Source organism: Homo sapiens, chromosome 15, assembly GCF_000001405.40.
Source record: "Homo sapiens chromosome 15, GRCh38.p14 Primary Assembly".
Taxonomy (NCBI): Eukaryota; Metazoa; Chordata; class Mammalia; order Primates; family Hominidae; genus Homo; species Homo sapiens.
In genome coordinates this window covers 51,534,449-51,558,572 of record NC_000015.10, presented here as the reverse complement: position 1 = coordinate 51,558,572, position 24,124 = coordinate 51,534,449, and the positions used below count along the sequence as shown (strand labels likewise).

At 34.5% G+C, this 24,124-nt stretch overlaps 1 protein-coding gene across 22 annotated transcripts in view; it reads left to right on the top strand.

Moving 5' to 3' along the window:
- DMXL2 (Dmx like 2) overlaps positions 1-24,124 on the top strand; it is a 174,981-nt gene that overhangs the window by 64,199 nt on the left and 86,658 nt on the right. For 21 of the 22 annotated variants that reach the window (NR_165648.1, NR_165649.1, XR_007064435.1 and 18 more), the window contains exons 7-13: positions 11,165-11,343; positions 12,807-12,990; positions 16,066-16,240; positions 20,121-20,360; positions 20,814-21,085; positions 21,711-22,407; positions 22,789-22,910. Coding sequence is in view for 19 of the 22 variants with exons in the window: in NM_001378460.1 (NP_001365389.1) it covers positions 11,165-11,343; positions 12,807-12,990; positions 16,066-16,240; positions 20,121-20,360; positions 20,814-21,085; positions 21,711-22,407; positions 22,789-22,910 (1,869 nt within the window). In the remaining 3 variants the exon portion in view is untranslated. The remainder of the gene's footprint in view (positions 1-11,164; positions 11,344-12,806; positions 12,991-16,065; positions 16,241-20,120; positions 20,361-20,813; positions 21,086-21,710; positions 22,408-22,788; positions 22,911-24,124) is intronic. The other variant, NM_001378464.1, reaches the window with a different exon arrangement.

Sequence of the window (24,124 nt, the reverse complement as noted above, 5' to 3'; positions counted from 1 at the left end):
TAACTAACAATTTCAAAGTAGAAATGAGTGTAAAAAATACTTTGAAATATGCAGTAACTGTCATGTGATATGAAAACATCTTTGATTCTGTTAGAGACAAAATCATATGTACTGCCAATACTACTTTGTTTTTTTCAATTAGCATTTATGAAAATAGAGAAGTAATTGTTTTTCCCCATTAAGGTTCATGATGCCTTTGGGTCTTAGTTTTCTTGGTTTCTTCAGAAGCAGACCCTGAGATAAGGATTCAAGTGTAAGTAATTAATATGGGGAATGATCACACGAAATATACTGGATTGGAAGGAGGGAAGTGAAGGCACTTAATAACCTTTATTAAGTGTATTAAGAAGCTTGAATCTCTGGGTCCTCTGGGAACCCGTGTTCCTCACTTGCATCGTGTTCCTTACACATGTTCTTTACACACATCATTTGAAGGCAGGTGAGGGCCAGGCATCAGTTCTCAGCACTCATAACCAGCTCCTAGAAGACCTCAGACAAAAAGATGTAGATGCTTGCAGTTGAAACTGGCACACCAAAATGCTAAGGCATGATGGGATACAAATGATGTGTCAAAAGTATCTTTTATATCTTGAAGTCTATCCACAGGACCTTTGGGTCAGAGGACCTCAGGCCAAGAGCCTCTGGTCTAGAATATGGACATTTTATGTTTTATCTTTCACATTCAGGTCTAAAATCTATGTGAAATAATGTTTAGATGTGATTTGAAGAAGGTCAAGTTTTATTTTTTCCTTATGGATATCTGGTTGTCTTGAACAATTTATTGGAAAAAATCTTCCCTTTCTTCATTGTTCTGCATTACCACTTTTGTCATAAAATCAAATGTCCATATTTCTGTAGGTCTGTTTCTAGGCTCTTTTCTCTAGTTCATTGGTCTTTCCTTGTATGAGTGTCACCTGACTTAATTGCTATAGCTTTAAATTAAGTCTTGATATCTGGTAGGGCAAGTCCTCCCCTCTTGTTTTTCTTTTTTAAGATCGTCTTATCTATTCTTGGCCCTTTGCATTTCTATATAAATTTTAGAATAAATGATAATTTTTACAAAGCAAACAGAAAACCTCTTATGATTCTGATTGGTATTACATTGACTGTGTAGGTCAGTTTGGGGAGAATTGACATCTTTACTATAATTAGTCTTCCCGTTTATGAACATGATGTATCCATTTATTTTAGACCTTTTTTTCCTCAGTAATGTTTTATAATTTTATCTGTGAAGATCCCAAATATCTTTTGGGATTAATTCCTAGATATTTGATGTTTTTGATACTGTTATAAATGGAATCATCATGTAAATTTTTAAAAAATAATTGTTACTGGTATATAGAAATGCAGTTTTTGTATATTGGCTTTATGCCCAGCACCCTTACTAAACTCATTAATTCTAATAATTCATCTGTAGATCATTTTGGATTTTATATGTACACAATTATATAATCTATGAATAATGAAAGCTGTAGTTCATCTTTTGTAACTCTCCCATTTTTCATATTTTTCCTTTTTTTTTTAACTGCAGTGTCTAGGACCTCTAGCAGAGTGCTGAATAAACGTGGTGACAACAGGTCTATCTTTTTCTTGTTCCCAGTCTCAAAGGGATACCCTTCACTGTGTCATCATAAATATAATGTTTACTGTTGATGTTTGTGGTAGATACTTTTTTTTCAGATAAAGAAACTTTCCTTCTATTTGTTGTTTGCTAGATTGTTTTTCTAAACCACAAACGATATAGAATTTTAGGAAGCATTTTTTCTGCATCTAATGAGACAATTTTTATCTTTTTTTTTTGGAGACAGAATCTCGCTCTGTCACCCAGGCTGGAGTCCAGTGGCACAATCTCAGCTCACTGCAATCTCAGCTTCCCAGGTTCAAGTATTTCTCCCATTTCAGCTTCCCAAGTAGCTGGGACTACAGGCACCCATCACCATGCCGGTTAATTTTTGTATTTTTGGTAGAGATGAAGTTTCACCATTTTGTCCAGGCTGGTCTCGAACTCCTGACCTCAGATGATCCACCTGCCTCGGCCTCCCATACTGCTGGGATTACAGGCATGAGCCACTGTGCCCGGCCATCTTTTTAATTTTTTAATAAGATGAAATACATGGACTGATTTTGTAAACCTTGTATTCCTGGAACAATCCCAACTTCATTATAATGTGTTATCCTTGCTGGATTTGATCTGCTGATCTTTTTTTTTTTTTTTTTCTTTTTTTTTTTTGAGACAGTGTCTCGCTCTGTCACCCAGGGTGGAGTGCAGTGGCGCGATCTCGGCTCACTGCAAGCTCTGCCTCCTGGGTTCACGCCATTCTCCTGCCTCAGCCTCCCAAGTAGCTGGGACTACAGGCGCCCGCCACCACGCCCAGCTAATTTTTTGTATTTTTAGTAGAGACGGGGTTTCACCGTGTTAGCCAGGATGGTCTCGATCTCCTGACCTCGTGATCCACCTGCCTTGGCCTCCCAAAGTGCTGGGATTACAGGCGTGAGCCACCGCGCCCGGCCTGATCTGCTGATCTTTTGTTTAAGATTTATGTGTTAGAGTGAGATTCGGCCAATAATTTTCCCGTTTTCATAATGTCCTTGACAGATTTTTATGTTGATGTTATGCTGGCCTTATAAATGGGTTGGAAAGCTCTCTTTTGTGAAGAGTTTATGTAAGATTGATATAGTTTTATTCTTAAGTATTTGCTGGTGAAGCCATCTGGATCAGGAATTTTCTTTGTAGGATTCAGTTTTTTAAATTATTCAGATTTTCTTTTTCTTTTGTATGTCAGTTTTGGTAAGTTGTATTTACCTATGATTTTTCAGTTTTATTTAGATTTTCAAATTTATTAGCACAAAATTGTGTAAAACACCTTATCTTTTAATATCTATAATACATGTATAGTGATTTCTTCTTCAGTTTTGATATTATTTATGCCTTCCCTCTTTCTTCATTCATCTCACCAAGAGTTTATCAATTTTGTAGGTCTTTTTACTGCCCTAAAAGTCTTCTGTACTCTGCCTGTTTTTAACTCTGGCTACCCCTGCTTAGTTGTTACTGTTATCTTTTCTACTTTTAAATGTTGGAGTGCCCAGGGCTCTTCTAGTCTTAAGATTTCTGATGCCATTTAAATGCCATTTTTGTATGCTGATGACATTCAACTTTGTATTTTTTGCCTGTACCTCTTCCCTGATCTCTACTTCCCTAACCCCTCAATCTACTCCCTGATGGCTCACCTTTAGAATATATCCACAATCTGCTTACTTCTTTACCACCTCCACTCTTATAATCTGGTTGAAGCCACCATTATTTATCACTTGTATTATTGTATTAAATTTTTAATTGGTTTCCCAATTTTTGCTGCACTTCTGTACAATCTATGTTCAAACCAGCAGGTGGAGTGATTTAAAAAATTGTTTTTTTGAGACAGAGTCTCTCACTGTCGCCTAGGCTGGAGTGCTGTGGCGCAATCTTGGCTCACTGCAACCTCTGCCTCCTGGGTTCAAGCAATTCTTGTGCCTCAGCCTCCCAAGTGACTGGGATTACAAGCGTGTGCCACCACACCTGGCTAATTTTTGTATTTTTAGTAGAGACGGAGTTTCGTCATGATGGCCAGGCTGGTCTCGAACTCCTGGCCTCAAGTGATCTGCCCACCTTGGTCTCCCAAAGTGCTGGGATTATGGGTGTGAGCCACTGTTCCTGGCCTGGAGTGATCTTTTTAAAATGTTGTCAGATCTTGTCACTCTTCTTTTGTACAAAACCGTCAAAAGCTTTTCCATTTCATTTACCAAAAGACCAAGTCTTCGTGATGGTTTAGCATGCTCCATGCTTACCAGGACTCTCGTCACTGCTTCAACCTCATCTTCTGCTAACTCTCACCCCTGCACACTCCACTCCATCTAATTTGCCTCATTGTTTTTAAACTAGATTTTAAAAATAAAACACTGAAATTTTGATAAGCCAGTTCAATAATCTACAAATAATAAAACAGTATTTCTGGATAGAAATGTAGAGACACGTGAAGAATTTTCTGTAATGTCTTGAGAAGCGTGGGTATCTCATGAAGGGTACACTTGTCAGAATCACTGGAAAAACAGTTTGAGAAATAATATAATTCATGTCTTTTTTTCCTTTTTAATTTTATTTTACGTAATTCATGTCTTGATCTCTAAAACAGGCAGTCACCTTTAAAACTTTGGATCTTTAAAAACAAATACCCCATTACTCCTAAAATTTGACTGAAAAAACTCACAGATTTGTCTTTTTTTTGTTACTCATATTTCTTAGGATTACCACGTTAATAAGTGATTAATAAAGCCAGTCATTCCTTTGACTTAACAAATCCATAATAGGTGAACCTATGGATGATTTAATATAGGACCAGTTCAGCATGTCAGAGAGCTGCTGGAGAGTCATACTGGAATCCAGCTTTATGATATTCCCAGTTAATCATTGCTGATGTCAGCTTGGATATTGTACACACTGTGCATCATTTGGAGCATGTTTTCCTATTGCCTCCTTTTAAATATCGTTAATGGCACTATGATCATGGATAGGTATTGTATACACTTAAGTTTTCCTTGACTCATGTACAGTTAACCCTTGAACAACATGGCAGTTAGGTGATCCAACCCCCTGCACAGTCAAAAATCCCTGTCTAACTTTTGAGTCTCCAGAAACTTAATTACTAATAGTCTACTATTGACTGGAAGCTTTTCCAATAAAATAAACAATAAATTAACACATTTTGTATGTTATAGGTATTGTATACTCTACTCTTTTTTTTTTTTTAAACCCTGCATGTGGCATCCAATATGTGCTATACTCTTTTAAGGAAGAGAAGAAAAATGTTACTAAGAAAACCTTAAGGAAGAGAAAATAAATTAACCGTTCATTAAGTGGATGTAGATGGTCATAAGGTCTTCATCCTCATCATTTTCACATTTAGTAGGTGAGAGAGGAGGAAGAAGAGGAGGGGTTGGTCTTGCTGTCTTGGGTGGCAGAGGCAGAAGAAAATTCACGTGTAAGTGGACCTGTGCAGTTCAAACCCATGTTATTGAAGGGTCAACTGTACTTTAACATATATATTGTTTGATTTTTTTTTATCATATAACGGGGCAAAGAAAATGCATTTTAGAATTCTAGCAATCTGCACTTGTGAGACACATGAGAATCTTTTATAGTTGTATTCATATCATAATAGACTTTATATACGTAAAATTGATAGTGCATTTTGGACAAAAAGTTGATTTGAAATTATATCTGAAATTAACAACCTTCATTCACATGTTTAGCAGATATTCTTTTGAACACCACCATATACCCTGAACTGTTGTGTGTGCTGGCAGTCTTATGATGAAGATGATAGACAAGGCTTTTGTTCTTATAGGACTTAATTTCTGGTGAGGAAAGACAGAAAAAAATATCAAGTATTAACAAGTGCTGTCCAGAAAATTAAGACAGGATGATATAGTAGTGTGATTGGGTGTCTGTTAGAGTGAGTGATCTATAGAGAAAGCTTTGCTGAGGAGATAACCTTTAAACTGAGAATTGAATACTACGAAGGAGACAACTGTGAAGTTCAGGGGAAAGAGTGTTTTTGGCCAAGGGAACAAACACCAAGTGCAAATGCTCTGAAATAGGAATTAGCAGGGCTTGTTAAAGAGCAACAGAAAGCTGGAGTGTAGTGGTTAGACCAAAGTTTGAGATGCATCTGAGTTAACATATCAGATAGGATAAGACAGTCAGGAGTTCTCTGGCAATTTGAATTCTTTAGCCAAAGGCGGTGTTTAAAGTTATGGGTCTGGATGAAATTAACTAGGGAGAACGTGTGTATTAGAGAAGAGAATGGGACTCAGGATCAAATCCCAGGATCCTCAAACATTAAGAAATGATAGAGAGAGGGGAGATACCTACAAAGGATGCTGGGAAGGAGTAACCACTGAAATAAAACGAAAACCAGGAGAATGTGACATTAGAGAAGCCAAGAAAAAAGGTTCAAGGAGGGAATGTCAGTTAATTTTGTCAAAAGACCTAGAACACATGGGAGAACAGTTAAACATCTGTAGATAGTACAGGCCTAACTGTGCGTAAATTAAAGCAAAGAAACTTTTGTGGAATCATAAAGTTTTAATGATCTTAGTGATCACAGAAGCAGCTAAGGTTTTTGAAGTCCATGTCTCTGCCCTCCACTGCCACTACCTGTGTCAGCATCTTCGGGGCTGCAGACCTTTACAGTAGTCTCTTAAGTGATGTCCTGCAAACATCCTCTGATTGGTCTGCCCACAGGAGCCAGCCACCTGAACATGCCGTTCTCCTTTTCACCACCTTTTAATGACTCCTATTGCTCCTAAAATGAAGATTATGATCTTTACCATGGCCTGTGAGGCTCTGCTGTATGATCTGGCCCTTCCGTGCCTCTCCAGCTTCATTCCCACCTTAATGCCTACGACACTGATGTCCTTTCAAGGCCTTGAATATGCCAAGCTCTTTCCTGCTTCCACGTCTTTTTATGTGCTGTTCCCTCTGTCTAGGGAATACCTACAATACCCAGACTTCCTTATTCTTTACCTGGTCGTCTTTTATGTATCCTTCAACTCTCAGTTTAAATACCACTTGCTTAAGAAATCCTCTGATCTCCCAGGCAAGGTCAAGTCTCCTTATTAAATACTTTCCTGGTGCCCTCTGCTTCTTTCTTATAGTGCTTATCACAATTGTAATTAAAACAATAATTTATATCCTTACTTAATGTTGCCTTCCTTTCTAAAGAATAAGCTCTGTGGGATTAGGAAATGTATTTTATTATTTCTGTCTCTTCCTCTGCCTCAGCTATATCCCCAGCCATTCACATAGTGGCTTCTTTCAATAAATACTTGTTGTTTGAGTAAATCTTGTAAATGTTCCATAGTTGTACAGGCAGTTAATGGCACATCATCATTATCTATTAGTACGTTGAGGACTGATTTTGTTTTTAAGCCTGAGAATGGTTGGAAAGCCCTTGAGTTTGCTTAGAGTGAAATGTGGCTCTTTAATAAATCTGTATCTGGACATAATCAAATGTATAATAATTGGTTCTTATGAAACATAGTAAAATATATGTAATTAGATTGAATTAAGAATAGTAGCTTGATACAAACTACAGGATGCCTACCCTTCCCTGAAAGAGACATATGAACTGTTAAAATTTCCACAAAAATTTTATTTTCTAGATTATTGAGTATTATTTTCATTGTGTTAGTCACGTCTCCCTAAGCTGCTTATATCCAGTTATCCTAAGAGTTAAGTGTTTCATAATTCTTATGGAAAGATAATGCTTTTCTGGTAAGGATCCTATGGAGGTTAAGCAAATGTGTCTTGGATTGAAAAAGCTATTTTCTCACATTTTTGAGAATATACCACATCTGATTAAGATTATCCTGATAAAAAGAACAGAAAGTAACTTTGGAATGTTGGGCAGTTTTTTTTTTTTTGGTACAATCTGTTCTGCTTCTGTTAATAAAGCCAAATTTGAATTGATAAAACAGATGGTCACTGTGGATCTCCCACTAGAAGGCATTTTCCACCGCCTCTGCTACACATGACAGGGTTTTATTTCAGGTGTTGTGAGACTCAAATTCAATTACTTCCAGGATTTTTAATATTACGGTCCATTGAGCACTTTGGCTGGTAAGATCTATTTTTTATAAATGTGGTAAATTAAATTTTTCTTAGGCTTAAGAGTATTTTAAATTTCTATCTGAACTTAAAATAAAGCCTTACTTACTAAAGAGCCTTTTCTACCCAACGTGACATACCTGATTAAATCTTTAGTTTAAGAATTGGTTTTCTCTGGTTCGCTTACTAGGAGATGTTTGCTGAAATTCTATTCGTTTATGTTCATAAAGTTTGTATTGGAACATTTTAAAAAATAACACTTGGTTATTTTGTAAAATTTGCAAGTAATTTAAAGTATCCTGTTTTCTTCAAAAAATGGAATTTATCTTTTCTTTTTTTGAGTTCTCATGCAGCATGGTGAATATAGTTAGTGATAGAATAGTGTATATTTTAAAATTGCTAAGAGTAAATTTCAAGTCTTCTCACCATAAAAAACATTAAGTATTTGAGGTGATGGATATGTTACCTAGCTTGATGTAATTATCATGTTATATTCGTGAATTATAACATCACTTCATACTATGTAAATGTATACAATTATAAGTTGTCAATTTATAATTAAAAAGGCAGCATTTTCTTTGAGAGAAGATTATGCCTTTGAGTGAAAAACTGGGTTTTGCAAGGGCTAGGATGAGAAGATTTCTTGAGGGGAAGGGTTGTCCCTTCTATGCTGATTTTGCTGAGGGTTTTAATTATAAAGGGATGCTGGATTTTGTCAAGTGCTTTTTCTGCATCTGTTGAGATGATCATTTGATTTTGTTTTTAATTCTGTTTATATGGTGTATCATATGTATTGACTTGTGAATATTAAACCATCCCTACAACTCTAGTATGAAACTTACTTGATCATGGTAGACAATCTTTTTGATATGCTGTTGGATTCAGTTAGCTAGTATTTTGTTATGGATTTTTGCATCTATATTCATCAGGGATATTGGTCTGTGGTTTCCTTTTTTTGTCATGTCCTTTCCTGGAGTTTCTGCACAGTAAATGAAACAGTCAGCAGAGTAAACAGACAGTCCACAGAGTGGGAGAAAATCTTCATGATCTATACATCTGACAAAGGACTAATATCCAGAATCTATAAGGAACTCAAACAAATTAGCAAGAAAAAACCAAACAATCCCATCAAAAAATGGACTGAGGACATCAATAGACAATTCTCCAAGGAGGATATACAAATGGCTGACAAGCATATGAAAAAATGCTCAACGTCACTAATGATCAGGGAAATGCAAACCAAAACCACAATGCGATACCACCTTACTCCTGCAAGAATGGCCATAATCAAAAAACCAAAAAATAATAGATGTTGGTGGGGATGTGGTATAAAGGGAACACTTTTACACTGATGTTGGGAATGTAAACTAGTACAACCACTATGGAAAACTCTGGAAATTCCTTAAAGAACAACAGTAGAACTACCATTTGATCCAGCTATCCACTTCTGGGTATCTATCCAGAGAAAAAGAAGTCATTATATGAAAAAGATACTTGCACATGCATGTTTATAGCAGCACAATTTGCAGTTGCAAAAATATAGAACCAGCCCAAATGCCCATCAGTCAATGAGTGGATAAAGAAATTGTGGTATATATATATACACACCATGGAATGCTATTCAGCCATAAAAAGGAATGAAATGACATTCGCAGCAACCTGGATGGAATTGGAGACCATTATTCTAAGTGAAGTAACTCAGGAATGGAAAACCAAACATCGTATGTTCTCACTCATAAGTGGGAGCTAAGCTATGAAGATGCAGAGGCATAAGAATGATACAATGGACTTTGGGGACTAGGGAGGAAGGGTGGGAGGAGAGTGAGGGATAAAAGACTACAAATTGGGTACAGTGTATACTGCTTGGGCGATGGGTGCACCAAAATCCCACAAATCACCACTGAAGAACTTATTCATGTAACCAAACACTACCTGTTCCCCCAAAACCTATGGAGATTAAATAAATAAATAACACAAAAACACTAAACAAAAGTGAACTTAAAAAAAAAAGCTAGGAATTTCCCTCATGCACTCAGGTAACTGCAACTCCCCCTTTTGATATGTTGTACTTTCATTTTCATTCATATTTTCAACATATTTTAAAATTTCCCCTGTAATTTAGAAGTTTTTAGTTTTCAAATATTTGGGAATTTTCTAGATAACTTTCTGTTACTAGTTACTTAATTTTGTTGTGGTTTTACAGTTTTAGACAATAACAGATGAAATAGGGACTGCTTCATTTGAGGGGGAGATTGGTGGGAATGGGAGAAGGGCTAGAGTATCACCTGCTCCTGGGGCTCTTTGTATTTCCATTGTGACTTTTGAGGGGCTCTCGGGTACCTGTAGAATTTCTTTGTTACGTAGTCTGAAACCACTGCATAGAATGTGCTGTAAATTTGATTATGTGAAAATGATGCTATGCTGAAGAAGATACTTGGAGGAAAGCAACTAGTACATTGTTAAGTGGCTGTCTAAGGGCAAACACTTAAAAGATTTGCTGTATAATTAAAATATCCAAAAAAAGAGACATTAATGGAAATTTTTGTTTCATTATGCAGCACAAATTGAGAATGAGTACCAAGATGAAAAAAACAGAATTGTTTGTCTAGTCCAAATGAAAATATTTGGGTCAATGCATACTTTTCAGGAATACATAATTGCAGAATTCCTCAGAGGTTATATTTTTGCATAAGCGATAACATTTATTATTTCCCTTTAATGCAGTTTTTATTATTGGTTATAAAGCACTATAAAAGATAGTTTCTGTTAAAATACAGTTGTTTAGCCTTTAACTAAATTGTTAGGACTAAGTAAAATGATTAAGTCAGTGCCTATTGTTATACTTGTAAATATTTTAAGTGGGCATTGAGGTGGTTCCTGACAGCTACCTCCATGCATTCTTTATCATCACTTAGAGTAGGGATCGGAGAACTGTGGCCCAAGAGCTAAGAATGTTTTTTACCTTTTTAAAGGGATGTAAGAAAAAAAGAAGAATCTGTGTCATAGACCTGTGTAGCCCACAAAGCCTAACTTATTTACCATCTGGCCCTTTGCAGAAAAATTTGCTGACTCTTGATATAGAGCAAGAAACAATTCATGTTCGTGAGGTGAAGGGTGAAGGGCTTCACTGTTAAAGACCACTTCAAAAAGGAAAGGATAACAATGACTGAAAAGATAGCATGGATCTTTCTAATTCTTTCTTAACTAACTTATTCAAGGGGCTAGCATCAGAATCTTTTTTCTGTACTGACCAATTTATGTCTAAATGGGAGAATTTGGCATCAGTCTGCATTTGAAAAACAATATCACACAGAAAAGATTGATAATGAATAGACTGTTCATTTATTTTTCAAGAATAGTTTTCTTTAAAGTAATGTAATTTTGAGATAAGTTTTGTATTATGTATAAGTCACATATTAGTTTTTAGATGTAACTTAATTTTTAAAACTTCTTCAAACCACTTAAATTTTGAATTGTGTATGTACAAATTAATTTTATATTGACCTATGTATTTTTCAGGATGATTGTCTTTTGAAAGTGTGGTATCCTATGACTGGTTGGAAGTCTTCAATTATACCTCAGGATCATCATGAAGTAAAAAGGAGACAGTCCTCTACTCAATTTTCTTTTGTTTACTTGGCACATCCCCGAGCTGTGACAGGTTTTTCGTGGCGCAAAACTAGCAAGTATATGCCCAGGTTAGATGAATGAATCATGTAGCTTTAGTTTGCATCCTTAAATGTTTATAAAAATAATGAAAATAAAGTCCTTTTATTTACATGGTGGCAATTAATAGCATAGGCTCTGGCATCAAGCTGCCTGAAATCAAATCCTACTATTAGCTTCATGAGTTTTTGACTAAATTTCTTAAGCTGTCTATGCCTCAGTTTTTCTCTGTAGAGTGAGGGTAGTAATAGTACCTACCTCAGAGAGTTACTGTGAAACTAAAATGTAGTTTGTGGGTGGGAAGTGCTTAGTACAGGCCTTTGCACATACTTTGTGTCCAGCCAATGAAATTGTTGGTAGTAGCTGTGGTACTAGCAGATCCTAGCAAGAAAATGTTTGCAAATAACAGGAAAGCACACATTGAAGGGAAATAGATCAGTATTATGTCAATTATGTATATGGTGTTAAAGCATATAATGTACTCTGAAAAAAGTGGCCAGGTTGTGTTTTTTTTGTTGTTGTTTTTTTAAATCTGAGAGCTGTCAACAGAAGCTTCTCAAAGGATTTTTTATTATACATTTTTTCCTCATCATTGTGGCACCTCTTAAAGGTATTTAGAAGATTAAATAAACTGCAAAAAAGCTTATACAAATGATTCCTTTATTATATACAGGTCTAAGAAAGCTGTTGGGCACTCAGAAGCTTGCTTAGAAATCTAGTTTGTTCTTGAGGGAGGGTTATTTTACCTACTAAATATATCTGAGGATTGTTTATGCCTGATAGGAAATATAGCACACATTGTAGAGATGCTCAGTAAATGATAATGTGGGAAATTTATATACTTTTTGAATCTAAATATATTCTGCTTAAGTCATCTGCATCTATTTGCAGAATACTTTTGACTTAGATTCTGTGTGAGCATTTTTTTAAAGGGAGAATGATTTTTTTGTTCCTTTGTAACAAACAGGTAAGTTACTTTAGCTGCTCCATGCCATGCCGTTTTTGCTTATTTTAACTTAATGGAAATGGATTTATAGTTTGAAATTATATTCTCCTTACAGTTTTATGATGAAGATAATTATTTGTTTGTAACTGTTTGGGTTATAGGAAGGAGGATGTAAAGTGATGAAACTACTGCCATAAGCCAGATAGTTTAATTACATTTAATGATCTTTTATTATGGTCATTCTCTAATTTGCAATGATTAGGTTTTCTTTTGCTGTTTAGTTTGTATGTTTTGTTTAGGAGATACTAATAATCCTCTAGAGCCTGAATGTATAATCTGGCAGTAATTTCTGTTTCTTTTTTCAAAACAATTTCCCGGTTCTTATGATGTTCACAGTGATGCTATATATGATTTCAAGCTCTTTGATTGATTCCTTTTTTCCATAGTGTTTTGCACTAATGTTATCTTTATGCATGAAGAACCAAAATATTAATTAGTTAATGGGATTGATATTCACATTAACCTTTATTTATTTCTCTTTGTTGTTAGGGGTTCTGTCTGTAATGTGTTGTTAACTTCATGTCATGATGGTGTGTGCCGGCTCTGGGCAGAAACTTTATTACCAGAAGACTGTCTTTTGGGTGAGCAGATTTGTGAGACTACCACTTCCAGCATTGCCAGCAGCCTTTCTCATGCTGGAAGACACAAAGACAGAATACAGCATGCTCTTGAGGTATTATATTATTTAAAATGGTAAATGAATTTTGAAGATAATGTGAGCCTGGTGGAAATTCATGAACTAACATGCAGATGGCACACATGGTACATGTAATGAGTGAAATTAATAGCAATAAACTCTCATTTATGCTTGTAAGACTACTCATTTATTCCACTAAGAAGCCAAATGCAGAAATTAATGATCTCAGACATGTTTTATAGGTAAATATTATTAAAAGTTTTTTAAAAATTGATATTTTATGCTCAAGTTCTAGATAATATTATTTTAATTCTTTTGTTTTGCATGTCACATGTGAAAATCTATGGGACTAAGTATTAGTAAAATATGTAAAGATCCTTGAAATTAGTTGTAATTAAAAATATTTTGCTTTTGTTTCATAAAGATTAAAATCTTATTGTTCTAGTTAAAAATGACTATTTTGTTCCTTAAGAATAAAGATGTTTATTAAGATATTAGACACAAATGAACTGCTTTGGAGTTTCCATGATTGAAGATTTTGAAAATGAAATAATTTTTATAATTTTTAAATACAGTATGAAATAAAAGTGCTTTATAAGAAATTACGTTATAACACATAGCACAAATGATTGTGTCCCATATGATTAGGTAATACAATGAGATATATGCATTATTTTGAATTGTCAGAAATTTATTATAGTAAACTTAGATTACTATTTTTCTTGTGGCTGTTTTTTATTATTCAAATACTGTATGCTTATTCTAGAATTGGATTAAGAAAAGGAGAAGAAATACGGAATTTATAATTCAACTATTCTAGTCCTGTGAATATGTGTATTTTTCTTTATACGATTGAGATCATATTATGCAGTAATACTTTATAAGTTTTTTATACTTAATTTGTTTACAGTCTACATTATTGACTATACTTTTACATTATATATTTACATTGACAGTTTAAAGGTTGCATAGTCAAAGTGGCTTTGCCATTTTACCAAGCAGAAATATTATACAACTTTGACAAGTTAAGGATGTGGTCCTTAAAAGTTTTATGTGAAGTAGGCCTCCTCAGGTATTGTCTGTATTGGGCCATTCTTGCACTGCTATGAAGAAACGTCTGAAACTGGGTGATTTATAATGAAAAGAGGTTTAATTGGCTCATGGTCCTATAGGAAGCATGGCACCAGAATCTGGTTGGCTTCTAGGGAGGCCACAGGGATCTTTTACCCATGGCAGAAGGTGAAGCAGGAGCCGGCACATCACATGGTGGAAGCAGGAACAAGAGAGAGTTGCGGGGAGGTGCCACACATTTTTAAATGACCAAATCTTATGAGAACTCACTCGCTATTGCAAAGGCAATACCAACACCAAGCCATGCGGGATCCGCCTCATGACCCAAACAGCTCCCACCAGGCTCTACCTCCAACATTGGGGATTACAATTCAACATGAGATTTAGGCAGGGTCAAGTATCTAAACTATATCACTGTCTGTGATTGGGCGCTATTTTTACATTTTTTTCAATATTTAAAATGTAAGTGAAATTAAAAGCAGATGTCAAAACAGTTAAAGTTATCTTTTATTTTGATATTGATATTTAGTAGGACAAAGTACTTAATTTTTAAGTAGATATTTGTGATCACTTACTTATACTTATGTAACGTGTTTTATCTTCAAATTATATATGAGCCTTTGGAAACTAAGGGCTTTTAGACATCTTTGTATCCTCCATGGTACCTGATATATTGCTTTTCAAGTGTTTGTTAAATTGAATTATTGCCATGTAAAATAGAACAGAAATATAAGTAAATATGTAACCAGTGATTTGACAAGTTTTTACTGTCTTTTATTAATATTATTAATTAATATGTTAAGATAGTTTTTAAAAGAAAAAACGTAATTGTCTGACTTACGAGCCACTTGGCTTTCTGACATCCTATCCTTTCCTATGGAACTCCTTACTGTTAGTTCTATATAATTGTATATATTCTTAAGTTATATGTTTTGTTTCTAGGAGAAAATAGCCAGTATTAGATCAGTCTTGTCAGTCTAATTTAAAATGATGGTTAATGTCAAAGATCCAGTGAAAATAATTTGATAGGCAGTTTTGACCAGGGGTTCTCTAATGTCAATCTTAACCCTATTATCAAAGCAATGAGCAACCCCGTAGTGGGAGACCAGAGGTGGGGGACACACCATTGACCTGATACTGTTTTCCATATGCAAAATGAGAAGGGCTGTAGAAATTGAGAGGATGTGCCAGTTATGTTACTTTAATGAAGAAAGAATTGATAACATTTTATACTTTATTTAATTGAATGTGGGGAACAAAGGAAAGTAATAAAAAATTATTATGAAACATGGTCTTCGGAGTGGGTTAAGTTACAGAATAAGGAATTACTGTGAGGTGGGGCCGTGATATGGAGAAAAAAGATAATGCCAAGAATGACATGGCCCCATGACTAAAATAGTCCACATGATCACGCATGCTAATGAAGAATTTTAATCATATAGATTTATCTCTATTTAAACATATCCAAATTGCAAATTGTTTAAAACAATTTAAACAAATTAAAGATCAACATTTTAATGAGGTCTTTCCTTGTCTACTCCTATCTAAGTAGGTTCCCCTTGTTATTCTGTATTTTCATACCCTGTTTTGTTCTTTGTAATAGATATCATGAATTTGATTGTTTAGCTGGCTGTTTAATTCTAAGTGAGAGGCAGTATTGGGGAGGCAATATTCTTCCTGGTAGGAAGACTCAGGAATTTTTTTTTTTTACTCTTATGACTAGAAAATTCTGTCTCAGTACTAGGATATCCTGAAAAAAAAATCTTTGGACCTCCTAATATTAACGGGAATCTTTATTCATGTTTTATAGATACCATGAATAAGTATTTTTGCACACTGCTTTTTGCCTTGAACTAAAAGTTTACAAGAACTGTAGAGAATACATCCAAAATAGTTCTACTGTAATTTAAAAAGTTTCCTTTAAAATGATCAGGTTTTTATGGAGAAAAAAATCTTAAACCTCTTAATAATTAAGAGTACTTTGGTTGGCATTTATTAGAGGTTCCAGAGTTGGACTCAGCAACTATTTTTCTATTTTAGACAATACACCATTTGAAAAATTTAAGGAAAGGACAGAGGAGGTCATCTGTTCTTGTAACTCATGCTGAATTAATGCCCGACCAGACAGCAATGCATGAAGTTCAAAGACACATTTCCCACCATGCAAATGCACTCTGTCATTTTCATATTGCAGCAAGCATCAACCCTGCCACAGGTAAAGGATAAAGTTTTATTTCCCATAAATATGTTGAAGTCAGGTAAATAAATAGAAAAGTGGAACTACTTTCATAACCTGTTTTTTATTATTTCATGTTGCCTTTAAAATACTTAATTGGAGTAGAGATATAATATAAAGTACCATTTTTTGAATTGGGCCTATGTGATTGGGACTATGTGATTCTCAGGGTATTAACTTCAGTAACTATTTCTGAGCATCTTTGTCTAGACTATAACAAGCATTCCTAGTAAATTAGAGCTGTGATTGAACCTGGTATCACAAGTGGTGGCAGCCTGGTAAATTAGTGTAATTTCTCTCACTTCACAGTTTAAATCTTCCCAACTCTTCTTTATAACCTCCTCTAAATATATTTTTACAAAGTTTTCCTTATATCTCAGCATATCTTGTTTTCTACCCTTGTAGACTTTCTTGTCCTATACTAAGGAAAACACTTTTCCTTCTAACCTGAATATTTTCTTTTCCCTTTTTCCCCTATGTGACTGAGAAGTATTTTGAGGCAGGTTCTGTGTTGGCAAATGCATATTTGAGAGCTTCTATTTAAAGGCAATATGTTTTCCTTCTACATGGAAATGTAGGAGAAAGGCTATAAATTTTATATTACATTGCTCATAGAACTATATAAAGTTTTATATAAAGTTATAGTTGTATGTTATTGAACTGGAGGTCTGTTGCTTCAGAGTGAAGGGGCTTTTATTTTTAAATGTTTCTGTATGTAAATACAGTATTTAGTAAATAGAATTCTAAAAGGGTGATCTGCAGTGGTAACTCTAGATATGTGCTGTTTTATAGAGTAGCCACTGGCCCCGTATTAGCTATTTGAGCACTTGAAATGTGGCTGGTCCAAATTGAGATATGCTGTAAAATACACACTGAATTTCTAAGACTTAGTATAAAAAATAATGAAAAATATTTCATAAATAATTTTATTTCATATTGATTACTTGTTGAAATACTATTTTATATATGTTGAGTCAAATAAAGTATATTATTAAAATTACTATTACCTGTTTCATTTTACCTTTTGTAACGTGGCTATTGAAATATCTAAAATTACTTAACATGTCTTGCATTTTTGGTCTGCATTATATTTCTGTTGGGCAGTGCTTTGCCATCTGATTAAATGTTGTTTTGCTTATATTATCCTTTCTTATCTAATATCTTAATTGTATTCTAAGAATGTCTTTATAATTTGTTTTCAAAATGTGGTTTTAGATTTTTATGAATTTTTAACCTTTTTAAAAGAACCGTTTCTTGAATTACTGTGATAAAAATTCAACTTCAAAACAAAATGCAATTCGTGATAGTCTGCACTAAATTCAATACATATTAGAAACCTTGGCTTTTTAACTGTGTACACTATCCTAATTAGATGGAATAGGATCACAGAGGATGAGCATTCTGTCACATCATTTGAGCCTAAGGACTGGATATGTTCTTGTAGCCATTGGGCCTTGGTCTTCCCCATCTTCTTTACTAACCTTCACTAATTTTATCCATGCTCATCCTAACTTACCTACATATTATTTTAAAAACAATTTTGTTAAAAATGTTTAACATCATGCATTTTTAGTTACTGCATGTAAATATAACATTTAGGTTGACCAAATAGATTACTAAATGCAAATAATTTTATATTGTTAGGACTTGTCCTCTTCACTTTTTTTTCAAAAAATTTTTTGAAACTACAAGAAAGTTGAAAGAATAGTACAGCAAATATCCATATACCACTTACCGAGATTTACCACATATTAACATCTTGTCATTTATTCTTTTGTTCTCCTCCTCTGCCTGTATAGATATGTCTTTGCTGCCTCTTCCCTTATTTTTGACGGAACCATTTGAAAGTAAAGTTGTTGATTACAATACCCTAAATATACCCTAATTATCCTAAATATTTTCCATTACCTAAATATTTAAGAATGTATCTTTTAGTAAAAAGGGAATTTGCCTCCATAGCTGTAATACTGTTATTGCATGTGAGGAACATAGATAAAATAATATCATGTAATATACCATTCATATACAAATATAGATTCCTTTCTTAAATGCAGATTATTTTCTTTAAATTCCTCCAATCTAGAACAGTCCCTTTCTCAATTGTCAAAAAAAAATCTGTTAGTCTCAAAAAGTTGTCTCTCAGTTTTCTTTCAAAATGTCTCACAGTCTGAATATTTGTTAATAAGATTTAGGTTTAACATTCTGAGCAAGATTACTACATAGGCACATAGGTGATGTAGTGTTTTATAGGATTGCTAATTCACAAATCCTATTTTATATGATTTATTTCATTTTTATCACAAAACCAGAATAGTCATCCAGGAACTGGAAAGAAAGAACAAATTAGAGCATTTAACATTCATATTTATTGTAATAGAACATTACCAGAATGTCCATGCATTTTATCTTTAGATTTTCACTTCTTTTTGCAAAGGACAATTTTTCCTTCTGTTGAATGAATTATTTATAATATGGATTGAAATTAAGGAGATTAAGTTTTTGATTTATACCATTTTTTGGGCGGAGGAGGACAGGGTCTTGCTGTGTCACCCAGGCTAGAGTGCAGCCTTGACCTCTCCGGCTCAGGCAATCCTACCACCTCAGCCTCCTGAGTAGCTGGGACCACAGGTGTGTGCCACTACACCTGGCTAATTTTTGTAGTTTTTGTAGAGTCAGTGTCTCGCTGTGTTTCCCAGGCTGGTCCCAAACTCCTAAGTTCAAGCGATCCTCCCGCCTTGGCCTTCAGAAGTGCTAGGATTACAGACATGAGCCACCACACCTGGCCAATTTATACTCTCTTACATGAACTCATCAATTTCATAAATTTCAGTTACCTCAAATGGAGAAATTATCTTATACTTAGAATTTTGCCTGCCTTCTTGTGTTTTTTTCTTGATTTTATTTCCCAACAGCTATTTAGTAAAGTTTCAAACACTGAGAAAAGTTGGAAGAATAGTACAGTTAATACTTTTATATTCTTCACTTTGATTCAACAGTTGTTAACATTTTGCCACAGTTGCTTTATATGTGGCAAATGTCTCTGTGTGTATGTGTATGAAATGTTTTCTTTTCTCTTTCTTTCTTTCTTCCTTTTTTTTTTTGGAAACGGAGTCTTGCTCTGTCACACAGGCTGGAGTGCAGTGGAGTGATCTCAGCTCATTGCAACCTCTACCTCCCGGGTTCAAGCAATTCTCCTGCTTAAGCCTCCCAAGTAGATGGGACTACAGGCACACCCCGCCACACTGGGCTAATTTTTTGTATTTTAGTAGAGATGGGGCTTCACCGTGTTGCCCAGGCTGGTCTCGATCTCCTGAGCTCAGGCAATCCACCCGCCTCTCCCTCCCAAAATGCTAGGATTACAGGCATGAGTCACCGCACATGGTCGAAATGTTTTCTTAGTCTTTTCAAAGTAAGTTACACCTATCATGGTGTATCACCCTTACATTAGCAAGTATCTCCTAAAATTCTCTCACATAATCATAATATCATCATACCTAAGAAAATGATAAGTAATTCCATAATATCTAATATCCAGTTCATATTTAAACTTCTCTAGTTATCTCTTTTATAGCTGCTTTTCTGCTTTAATTTTTCATCCCCTGTCCCCAAACTGGAATTCACTGAAGGTTGATGCATTCGTGTATTTTGTTTTTAAGTTAATAGTTTAATTTCATATGTCTATCATTAATTCTTAAGATTTACATTTACCATTAAATTCAGTTAAAGTTTTTACAAATGCTGCTAAAATTATGTTGACTTGTTTAGCACCTTTTCTTTATATAGATTAGTCATTGTAAGCACTTGTCATGTTTTTAAAGAAATAAAAAAAATTATATTGAAATCTCTTTTATTTCCACAGATATTCCAAATGTCTTGGTTGGCACTGCATTTAATGTTGATGATGGAAATGGGGGCTTTGTAGTTCATTGGTTAAACAACAAGGAATTTCATTTTACATCATCTACAGAAGTATTTATGCATCAATTACGAAAACTTTCTGATAAGCAGGTAGATCATGAAAATGATGATGCAGATAGAGAAGATGAGGAACATTCACAGGAGGATAGAGAACGGGGTTTACATATGAAATTAGACCATGGTTAGTATCCTGTGTTCAGATTTTACTTACTCCAAAGTTAACAGCTTTCTGTGGTACCACTTTTAGTTTTGAATTCTTCCTTCCCGCTCTTCCTCCTTTTTACTTTTCTATTTGTTACACAAGTATTTACTGACCATCTGCCTTGGATCAGGTACTCTGCTAGCCCCTGCAAACATCATCTAACTCTATATGTTCTTTGGAAGCCATATCCTTTTCTGGGGAACAGGTTTTGCTAAATGGTAGTAATAATGATAGGGTGAATGAAGTTTTAATTTATCTAAAAGTAGTAACTGTAGTAACATTCAATTCAGACAAAAGTTTCCTTTGTTTTTTTTTCTGACTGTAAATTGGAAAAGAGATTTAGTTTTTAAAGATAGTATGCCATTTATTTATAGTCTAGTATGTAAATGAATTATTTAATGCTTGTATTGATAAATATATTTTCTGGTTCAGATTTATCCCTGGATAGAGAATCTGAGGCAGGTACAGGATCATCAGAACATGAAGATGGAGAAAGAGAAGGAAGTCCTAGAACTTACTCACGACTTAGTGTACCAATGCCACTGCCTACGGTTCTGCTTGATCGGAAGATTGAAACGCTGCTAACTGAATGGAATAAGAATCCTGATATGCTTTTTACAATACACCCTGTAGATGGTACCTTTCTAGTGTGGCATGTGAAGTATTTGGATGAATATAATCCTGGAATATTTAGACAAGTTCAGGTATATTTTATTGATGAAATAGTTATTACATTTCTTAAAATAGTAAAAAGAAATAAATGCTTTGTAGAGTTAGCATGTTTTTAGAATTACTGAAAATTTTGGTTTTGATAAGCATCTGAGTAAAGAATACTTCTTTCTTTCAGAAGGGATCAGTGACCATAAGCTTAGCAAACTTGATTAGTTAGAAGATAATGAATTTGGCCTTGAAATGCAGTACTGAATATTTAAATATATGTGTTGATTTTTGAGGGAATTAATAATATTTTGAATAAGATTAAGAAACTACCCTGAAAATGTGAATCAGGATGAGCTCCTCCTTGTGGCCAATTTGATGAGCTAAACGAAGCTGCCTTTGTCATCTCTCTCAACTTTATTGCTATTTAGATCTGTGGCTGTGGTCATTTTGTTGTACAAGCAAAGCACTTGAACTTTTTTTCTTCAGCCTTCTCTTAGGCCATGAATAGAGATATGGTATTACCTAAATAGAGCAAGGGGACTGGACCATAAAGAGGTTGAAAATGACATTTTTTGATAAGAAGCTGAGATTTGGTATTTTGAGAATAGAAGTCTTTTTTTTGAGAGGAGGTAAACTATTTGCACTGAATCATATAATTATGTTTTTCAGGTTTCTTTTTCTTCTCGGATTCCTGTTGCATTTCCCTCTGGTGATGCAAGCTCTCTTAGTAAAAATATCATGATGTATGCCTGTATAAATGCGACAAAAGATTCTCACCACACGCTGTTACACCAGGAGGGGATGTCTGTAGGCAGTCCTCACGGATCACAGCCACACTCTAGATCCCACAGTACACATATGAACATCTTAGCTCCCACAGTAATGATGATCTCTAAACACATAGATGGTTCTTTAAATCAGTGGGCAGTCACTTTTGCTGATAAGTCTGCCTTTACCACTGTTCTAACTGTATCTCACAAATTTAGATATTGCGGTCATCGATTTCACCTCAATGACCTGGCATGTCATTCAGTTTTACCACTGTTATTGACATCCTCTCATCATAATGCTCTATTGACTCCTGAATTAGATTGTCAGTGGGACTCAGACAATAAATTAAGTAGATTAATGGACCCTGTAAAACATATAAAAGGTTCCTCGAAACAACCTCTTAGAAATGCAGCAACTCGTACATTTCATGACCCAAATGCAATCTACAGTGAACTTATTCTGTGGCGTGTAGACCCAATAGGACCTTTGTCATACACTGGAGGAGTATCAGAATTGGCTCGAATTAACTCTTTACATACCTCAGCGTTCTCTAATGTGGCTTGGCTTCCAACTCTCATTCCCAGTTACTGTCTAGGTAAGTGTTCATTGTAATTGTGAAATTAACACAAGCTTTTAAACTATTATTTGTTATATACGAAATGGTTTATATTTGTTGTCATTAAGATTTTTAATAAGTATTCAGTTTTCATTAAGGTGATTTTTAATAAATATTCAGAATACAGGCATGAGACTGATTTTTAGAACTTCCAGAAGTTTTTAACCTTTTCTCTCATAATCCATTTTTTAATTAAACTTTTTGTTAATAATTTTGTATCTACTTATTGTGCCTGTTTAATTATGATTCTAGACCATGGTTAAGCCTAAAAAAAATGTGAATACTTGTTTCTTATCCTTTAGCCAATAAGAAAAATACACTACATGTTTAGAACCCAGAGGCCTTGTTTTCCTTTCTCAGGCACATACTGCAATTCTGCAAGTGCTTGCTTTGTTGCTTCTGATGGCAAAAATCTGAGACTCTATCAAGCTGTAGTGGATGCAAGGAAATTATTAGATGAATTGTCAGACCCAGAATCTTCAGTAAGTATTTAATAATCTTTATTAATTTATCTAAGGAGATAAAGAATTCTCTTTTGACTTTGTCTAGGACCTGTGTTTGTTAGTTGCTGTTTAGGGAGTAAGTATATGTTCTGGGCTGCATATGACATATATATGACACATTTATTTTTTCCTAAGCTGTGTTCCAAGGTACATGAATCAAAATTTTAGTGTACATACCACACATTAATACATTTTACATGAAAAGAAATAAAAAGGATTTTTTTCTAAAATATTATTTGTTTGTAACATATTTTACTCTCTAGTTTGGTTCTGTTAGTCTTACTTTGCTTAAAAGAAGTTTTAAGGCATCTTTACCAAGCTGTATGTTTAGGTTGGAAAATTGGAACTTTTTCAAGCTTGATTCACCATTTTAAAAAATTCTCTGGTTAGAATTTGTTATCAGTGGGTGGCAGCATCTCATTCTGATAGTTCTGTATCTGAGCTGGAAGTCATATATGTTAGTATCTAGAGTTGAACAGTAGATTTTCCATTTACCTATAAAAACAACTATTCTAATAAAAATGTTTCCAGTATTGAAAACCAATGACTATTTTTGAGCATCTACTATGTTCTCCTAGATGTAGAGGGAATACAAAATATAAGTTTCAGACCTACCTTTAAGGAGCTTTTAATTTAGCTGAAGAGAGAGCTTATTAATAAAAAGTTAAGTAGCAGTTTAAGACATAAGAAGAGGAGTCTAAGGGTGGTATGTAATTAATTGCCAAAAGGATGGCCCTAGAAGTGTTTCATTATTCAGAGGAGAGAGAGAGATCAGATTAAGGTAGGCATAGAATTCTTTATTAAGGACAATATTTGGGTTCATTCTTGATGAGTGGATAAGATTTAGAAAGATAAATTCTTTGTCTTTGCCTGAGTGAGAAAATTGCCTGGAAGTAAGTATAGATACAGGAAAGTACATGTGTAAAGCTTGTTCCAGAAACAGTGAGAAAACCATTTGGATTGGAGCTTAAGGTTTGACATAGAGAAAGTCTAGAAAAATAGAATCATAGAACTAGAATTGGAAGATATTTTAAAGGTCACCTGGTCTCACCAGCCATCTGATGCTTTATTCCCCTCTGCTTCATTCCTGCCAATTTGTCATCTGGCCATCGATGAGGGAGACTCAACTCTAAATGCAGCTCATTCTATCCTTGAATAGCTCACACAATCATATTGAAACGCTATTTGTTTTG